We start from the raw sequence: 8241 nt of genomic DNA, 5'->3' as shown, positions 1-8241 counted from the left end.
ACTGGCTGTACTAACTGTGATTCTGACCTCAAGAGTAAAGCTAGACTTAACAATGGCATGGGTTCTTCTACCACAGTAACATTTCTGCACCACTGCTAAACATAATAAGGGCTACGAGATCACTACAGAAGCAGACAGATTTTTTCCCTCTTCTCATTCAATTATTAAGGAAAAGGGCTATATTGTTACAATAGTGAAATGCTGCAATTTTTCAGAAAACTGAGAAAGACTTTACTTCTACTATTTTAGTATTCTTTTCTTTATAAGAAATACCTAGAAAACTGCTACTACAACTTGAAGAGTGAAATCAATCAAATTGGAAGGCAGAGAGACAGTAGCCCAGTGCTTGAGAAGCTGAAGCAAATGCAGAATTTCTTTGGGCTGAAGGTAACTGGGAAGCCAGATCGAATTTGATGAAGCAGCCCAGATGTGGGGTGCCTGATGTGGCTTCCCTCATCCTCACTCAAGAGAGCCCTTGTTGGGAGCAAACAAATCTGACCCACAGGTAATAAGACTGCGCACCAGAGTGAGAGACAGCTGTTTCCCACCACAGTGGGAAGAAATGAGGTTCTCTGTGTCTCTGTTCTCTCCTTTATCATTTTAAGGATCAAAACTACATGCCAAATCTGCCTCAAGAGGATGTGGACCGTGCCACTGGGAAAGCCTTTGAACTCTGGAGTAAGGCCTCGGCCCTGACCTTCACCAGGGACTTTGAGAGTGAAGGGGACATAATATTATCCTTTGTGTGAGGAGGTAAGCTCTTCTCTCCCAAAACCATTCTGAACGTTCCCTCCTGCTACCCTGGGATCTGCTCCATCAGAATTGCTGATGGAGGAAAGCCTCACAGATGAAGTGTGTCTTTTGGCTCCTTGCTATAGCTCTTTTGTCTCACCTGGGTAAGGCTGAATAAAACAAGGGTATATCTTTGTTGAATTCTTTTTCTTGCAGATCTCCATGACAATTCTCCCTTTTATGGACATGATGGTTGTCTTGCTCATGCATTCCCACCTGGACCAGGTATCGGAGGAGATGTTCATTTTGATAATGATGAAACAAGGACCAAGGATTTCAGAAGTGAGTCAGCTAATTCCTTCACTGCCTCTTTTATTTTTCCTTCCCATAGCTTATAGAATTTTTTTTGTTTTATCTGAAAGAATGCTTTCAGTAAAATGAACCAATTTTGACTTTATTAGTATAAATACTTTAATAAATATAAACTGTTGACACTATAAATTACTTTAAAAAGGTAACTATTTTGTCTCATTTCATAAAAATGTAAGAGAATAATATTTCTTCAAGCTGTGTAATTTTACTGACAAAAATACATTACTCTAAAATTTTTACTAGAATGTTTAATATCATATCATTATGTACATTTGTCAACTATTCAGTGCTTTGAAAATATTCAGGTTTTTGGATTTTGCATGCATAAAATGTAAGGACACTAGACCCTATCACAGTGCAAAATAAGTAACTTAAAGGAGTTTATTTGAGAGGCTGAGGTGGGTGGATCACTTTTAGGCCAGGAGTTCAAGCCCAGCCTGGCCAACATGGTGAAACCCTGTCTCTACTAAAAATACAAAATTAGCTGGGCATGGTGGCGTGTGACTGTGGTCCCAGCTACTCAACTTGGGAGGCTGAGGCACGAAAATCACTTGAACCAGGAGGCAGACGTTGCAGTGAGCCAAGATCGCACCACTGCACTCCAGCCTAGGGGACAGAGTGAGACTCTGTCTCAAGAAAATTTAAAAAAAAATTAAAAACTGGTTTAAATAAGCAAAGAATCTTGAAGCATACTAGCATAAGGTGTATATCTTGCCAATAAGGAGGATTTTTAAAAATATGAAGTTTCAAACTGCCTTTCTATGAGGTGGTAACTTCTATTTGTGCAGAGATACTCTGGCTTCATGATGTAAGATGAACTGACATTCTGGAGTAACCAAATGAACAAATACAGAATCCTTTGTCTGGAGTCAGCCTGGTCGAAAGCTCAGATATGTCTTCTGCAGAAGGTGTCCATCTGCCTCCCACCCTTGTAGTCCTGCAGGGTGCCCACCACACACACACACACCTGTGTAGCTTGAGAAGTAACCCAATTATACTAAGAAGAAAGGTCTTCTCGAGTGCACCTTACATTGGAATAAAACTCTCCATCCACTTCTCGTGAAGCAAATGTCTGGAGGAAATTCTGTCTAATATCTACTAGACTCCAGGCAAATCTTTTCATGGCCGATTTTTTGTTGACAGGCAGTAAGCACTGGGTCGTTCAGGAGGATCAACTGCTGAGTGGCTACCCCAGGGACGTCTACAGCTCCTTTGTCTTCCCTGAAAGGGTGAAGAAAATTGATGCTGCCATTTATGAGAAGGACACTGGAAAGACACATTTCTTTGTTGCCAATGAGTATTGGAGGTAAAGACCTACCCTCAGAAAACTTGGGAAATCAGATCACTCTGGTGGAAGGAGAGTTGCCTTTTAAAATTTTTCTCAAATTTCACTGAAACTTTCCTTTTTTCTGAGAATGAATGCAGCCAGGCCCACAGCCATTCAGTCCCCTACCTGTTATCACACTGCTGCCTAGCAAGGCAAGGAACTTGTTGGCTTGCATTTGAAAAGGAGATAAAGAGCAGAACACACAAAGGGGACTAGAGGCATCCAAAAAGGAGAAAATGAAGCATTTCTCCTTGATAGGACAGAACATGGAGCCCAAGGGAAAATTTGAATCAGATTTTTATGGTTGAGAATAACTTAGAGTTTGTCTAGTTTGCCCCACTCTCCCTCCCAGTTAAAATTTCTTAATAGTTTCATGCCAACAATGTACCCACCCATAATTTTTAAAAGCAGCCATCGGGGTTTTGCAAAATTGAGGCACAGACAGTACCTACCTCTCAGATTTGTTGTGAGAATTAAATGAATCTTCATATGAAAAGCACTTAGGACAGTGATTAGTACATGGAAAGTTCTACATGAAAGTTAAGTGTTTTTTATTGTTTTTATATTAACCACAATGTGATATTTTTAGTTATTTTTTGTTACCAGGTATGATGAAAATATGCAGTCCGTGGATGCAGGTTATCCCAAAATCATTGATGACCTCCCCGGAATTAGTAAAAAAAATTGACCTGTTTTGAAAAATAAAGGTAAAGACCATTCAATTTCCTCATTTCACTATCATAAAATTACACATTTAGTGTTACATAGATAAGACAGTAAACTGTGTACACAAAAATATGATATTTTCAAGAGTTCATGTGAAAAATCATTATCTAGTTTCTTTTATTTCTAGGTTTTTTCTATTTCTTTTGTAGAAGAAGGCAGTATGAATGTAATCCTAAAATGAAGCAAATTTTGACTCTCCTGAAAGCTAACATCTGGTTCAAGTGCAGAAATAACTGATGGTTGACTATCACCAAACAGAAAATAAAAAGTATTTTTAATGAGCCCAAAATATGTTCTTTTCTAAGAAACCAGGTATTTCAGTATTTTATTTCAGTCTCTTGGTAACACAAGGCAGAGACATAGAAATACAATCTTATTTAACTTCAATCTGAACATATTCTATGTTAGCTAGAATATATTGCTTCATGAACTTATATAAGTTAGTTTTAAGCAAGTACTAAGGGTTGTCAATCAAGGTCATCCTTAGGTTTTCACAGAAAAAAGCTTTTTACTAGAGTCCAAGACTCTGACTTTAACCTGAGCAGCTGCACATATGGGATGCATATCTCAATCCACCCAAGACAATAACAGCCCTCAGTTTCAACAAAGAAAAAACAGCGTAAAACTGTATCATCCTTACATGTACATGGCAACACTGTCACATATTAAAGAAAACAGACACTTAAACTTCGTATAAAAAATAAAGTGGCTGGGCACAGTGCCTCACGCCTGTAATCCCAGCACTTTGGGAAGCTGAGGCAGATAGATCACTTGAGGTCAGGAGTTCAAGACCAGCCTGGCCAAAATGATGAAACCCCATCTCTACTAACAAAAAATACACAAATTAGCCGGGTGTGGTGGCAGGCACCTGTAATCCCAGCTACTTGGGAGGCTGAGTCACAAGAATCACTTGAACCCAGGAGGTGAAGGTTGTAGTGAACCAAGATCGCGCCACTGCACTCCAGCCTGGGCAGTAGAGTGAGATTTAGTATATATATTTTAAAAAGGTAACTTTTATCAACATATAATATGAATACAGAAAAGCCATGTATCATAAGTATATAGCTGATGACTCTTCACAACACAACCAAGTAACCAGCACACAAAAGAAAATTGCCAGTATCCCCAAATCCCTTCTCCAGGTACTAAGCTTTCTAAGGGTAACTACTATCCTAACTTCTAATCTAATACCATAGATTAGCTTTATCTCTTTCAGTACTTAAAATAAATGGAATTATACATTATATACCTTAGTATCTGACTTCTGTCACTCAACATTATATTTATGAGATTCATCAATATATTTTTATGTAATTTTTGATCATTTATTCTCTTTGCTGTAGAGTTTCCATTGAGTGAATAATTTCCCACAATTTATCTCTCCAGTCTATGTTGAAGGACATATAAGTAGTTTCCAATTTGGGGCTATTACAAATAGTCTTCAGGGGAAGCAGAGCAAGATAGTTGAATAGAAGCTTCCAATAGTTGTCCTCACACCCCCGCAAGAACACAAAATTGAACAACTATTCACACAAAAAAGCAACTCCATAAGAACCCAAAATCGGGTGAGCAATCACACTACCTGGTTTTAACATCATATTAAGGAAAGAGGCACTGAAAAGGGTAGGAAAGACAGTCTTGAATGACCTACACCAGCCCTCTCCTATCCCCCTGCAGTGATCATATGGCATGAAGAGAGAATCTGCACTAGGGGAAGAGGGAGTGTACAGTGATTGTGAGACTTTGCATTGGAACTTAGTGTTGCCCTGTCATTAGTGTTGCAACACCAGGCAGAATTCAGTCAGCTCTTATGGAGGAAGAGAGAGAGAGAGAGAGAGAGAGACTCAATTTGGTGGGTAGGGGGGTGGGGGGGAAGTCAGGAAAGAGAAGAAGAGTCTCTGCCTGGTCATCCAGGGAATTCCTCTAGATCTTACCTAAGACTACCAAGCTGGTACATCTGTGGGTCTACAAGAGCCACAGGTTTACTGGGCTTGGGGTGCCCCCTAAAGCACATATGGCTGCTGTGACCAAAGACTTAGATCATAACAACCAAGTTGCTTGGAATACCTGGAAAGCCTTCCCAAAAAGGACAGGTACAAACAAGTCCAGACTAAAAAGACTATGATAAATACCTAACTCTTCAATGCCCAGACACTGATGAACATCTGTAAGCATCAGGATCACCCAGAAAAACACTACTTCACCAAACAAACTAAATAAGGCACCACAGACCAATCCTGGAGAGACAGAGATATGTGACCTTTCAGACAAAGAATTTAAAATTGCTCTTTTGAGGAAGCTCATCAAAATCCAGGATAACATGGAGAAGGAATTCAGAATCCTATCAAATAAATTTAACAAAGACATTGAAATAATTACGTGGAATCAAGCAAACATTCTGAAACTAAAAAATGCAATTGACATGCTGAAGAATGCATCAGAGTCTCTTAACAGCACAATTGATCAAGCTGAAGAAATAGTGAGTTTGAAGACAAGCTATTTGAAAATACACAGTCAGAGGAGACAAAAGAGAAAAGCATACGTACAAGATCTAGAAAATAACCTCAAAAGGGTAAATGAAAGAGTTATTGACTGTAAAGAGAAGGTAGAGAGAGAGAGATTAGAGTAGAAAGTTTATTCAAATGGATAATAACAGAGAATTTCCCAAACCTAGAGAAAGATATCAAGTACAAGAAGGTTATAAAACACCAAGCAGATTTAACCCAAATAAGACTACCTCAAGGCATTTAGTAATCAGTATCTGAAAGGACAAGGATAAAGACAGGATCCTAAAAGCAACAAGAAAAAAGAAACAACATGCAAAGGAGCTCCAATATGTCTGGCAGCACACTTCTCAGTGGAAATCTTAAAGACCAGGAGAGAGTAGCGTGACATATTTAAAGTGCTGAAGGAAAAAAAATTATCCTAGAATAGTATATCTAGGGAAAATACCCTTCAAACATGGAGAAATAAAGACTTTCCCAGACAAACAAAAGCTGTGGGATTACATAAGCACCAAACCTGTCCTATAATAAATGCTAAATGGATTTCTTCAATCTTAAAAAGAAGGATGTTAATGAGCAATAAGAAATAATCCAAAGGTACACAATTCAGGGGTAATAGTAAGTAAACAAAAAAAACACAGAATATTATAATACTATAACTGTAGTATGTAAACTTTCTATGCAAGGCATAGAAAGACTAAAAGATGAACCTTTGAAAAATAATAACTACAACAACTTTTCAAGACATAGTATAATAAGATATAAATATAAACAACAAAAAGTTAAAAAGTGGAGAGATGAGGTTAAAATGTACAGTTTTTATTAGTTATATTTTTGCTGGTTTATACAATTAGTGTTAAGTTGTCATCAGTTTAAAATACTGAACTATAAGATATTATTTGCAAGCCTCATGATAACCTCAAATCAAAAACCATACAACAGATATACAAAAAAATCAAAAGCAAGAATTTAAAACATACAACTTGAGAAAATTATCTTTACGAAAAGGAAGACAGGAAAGAACAAAAGAAGGAAGAGAAGACCAGAAAACAAATGACAAAATGGCAAGAGTAAGTCCTTACTTATCAATAATAACACTAAATATAAATGAACCAAAGTTTCCAGTCCAAAGATTCAGAATGGATTAAACAATAAGACCCAATGATCTATTGCTTACAAGAAACACACTTCACCTCTAAAGACACACATAGAATGAAAATAAAGAGATGGAAAATGATACTCTATACAAATGAAAGCCAAAAGAGAATAAGAGTAGCTATGCTTACATCAGACAAAATAAATATCAAGACGAAAAGTATAAAAACAGACAAAGTTGAGGGAGGAGCCAAGATGGCCGAATAGGAACAGCTCCAGTCTACAGCTCCCAGCGTGAGCAACGCAGAAGACGGTGATTTCTGCATTTCCATCTGAGGTACCGGGTTCATCTCACTAGGGAGTGCCAGACAGTGGGCCCAGGTCAGTGGGTGCGCGCACCGTGTGCGAGCCGAAGCAGGGCGAGGCATTGCCTCACTTGGGAAGCGCAAGGGATCAGGGAGTTCCCTTTCTGAGTCAAAGAAAGGGGTGACGGACGCACCTGGAAAATCGAGTCACCCCCACCCGAATACTGCACTTTTCCAACCGGATTAAAAAACAGCGCACCACGAGATTATATCCGGCACCTGGGTCGGAGGGTCCTACGCCCACGGAGTCTCGCTGATTGCTAGCACAGCAGTCTGAGATCAAATTGCAAGGCGGCAGCGAGGCTGGGGGAGTGGCGCCCGCCATTGCCCAGGCTTGATTAGGTAAACAAAGCAGCTGGGAAGCTCGAACTGGGTGGAGCCCACCACAGCTCAAGGAGGCCTGCCTGCCTCTGTAGGCTCCACCTCTGAGGGCAGGGCACACTCAAACAAAAAGACAGCAGTAACCTCTGCAGACTTAAATGTCCCTGTCTGACAGCTTTGAAGAGAGCAGTGGTTCTCCCAGCACGCAGCTGGAGATCTGAGAATGGGCAGACTGCCTCCTCAAGTGGGTCCCTGACCCCTGACCCCCGAGCAGCCTAACCGGGAGGCACCCCCCAGCAGGGGCATACTGACACCTCACACGGCAGGGTATTCCAACAGACCTGCAGCTGAGGGTCCTGTCTGTTAGAAGGAAAACTAACAAACAGAAAGGACATCCACACCAAAAACCCATCTGTACATCACCATCATCAAAGACCAAAAGTAGATAAAACCACAAAGATGGGGAAAAAACAGAACAGAAAAACTGGAAACTCAAAAAGCAGAGCGCCTCTCCTCCTCCAAAGGAATGCAGTTCCTCACCAGCAACAGAACAAAGCTGGATGGAGAATGACTTTGACAAGCTGAGAGAAGAAGGCTTCAGACGATCAAATTACTCTGAGCTATGGGAGGACATTCAAACCAAAGGCAAAGAAGTTGAAAACTTTGAAAAAAATTTAGAAGAATGTATAACTAGAATAACCAATACAGAGAAGTGCTTAAAGGAGCTGATGGAGCTGAAAACCAAGGCTCGAGAACTACGTGAAGAATGCAGAAGCCTCAGGAGCCAATGTGATCAACT

General features: G+C 39.8%; 3 annotated features.

Moving 5' to 3' along the window:
- Positions 789–1988: an enhancer, noted in NCBI's record as "MED14-independent group 3 enhancer chr11:102623204-102624403 (GRCh37/hg19 assembly coordinates)". NCBI's record gives its function as "activates an origin of replication core promoter dependent on BRD2, BRD4, P300/CBP and CDK7 cofactors, and independent of MED14, by STARR-seq in HCT116 cells {active_cell/tissue: HCT116}" and the evidence as "EXISTENCE:reporter gene assay evidence [ECO:0000049][PMID:35650434]".
- Positions 6693–7257: an enhancer, noted in NCBI's record as "H3K27ac-H3K4me1 hESC enhancer chr11:102617935-102618499 (GRCh37/hg19 assembly coordinates)". NCBI's record gives its function as "activates a minimal SCP1, AML or CMV promoter by ChIP-STARR-seq in naive H9 embryonic stem cells {active_cell/tissue: H9 hESC(naive)}" and the evidence as "EXISTENCE:reporter gene assay evidence [ECO:0000049][PMID:30033119]".
- Positions 7258–7822: an enhancer, noted in NCBI's record as "H3K27ac-H3K4me1 hESC enhancer chr11:102617370-102617934 (GRCh37/hg19 assembly coordinates)". NCBI's record gives its function as "activates a minimal SCP1, AML or CMV promoter by ChIP-STARR-seq in primed H9 embryonic stem cells {active_cell/tissue: H9 hESC(primed)}" and the evidence as "EXISTENCE:reporter gene assay evidence [ECO:0000049][PMID:30033119]".

The sequence above is a fragment of the Homo sapiens genome, chromosome 11 (genome assembly GCF_000001405.40).
Source record: "Homo sapiens chromosome 11, GRCh38.p14 Primary Assembly".
Taxonomy (NCBI): Eukaryota; Metazoa; Chordata; class Mammalia; order Primates; family Hominidae; genus Homo; species Homo sapiens.
Note: the sequence above shows the minus strand (reverse complement) of the source record. Positions and strands in the feature narration are given on the sequence as shown.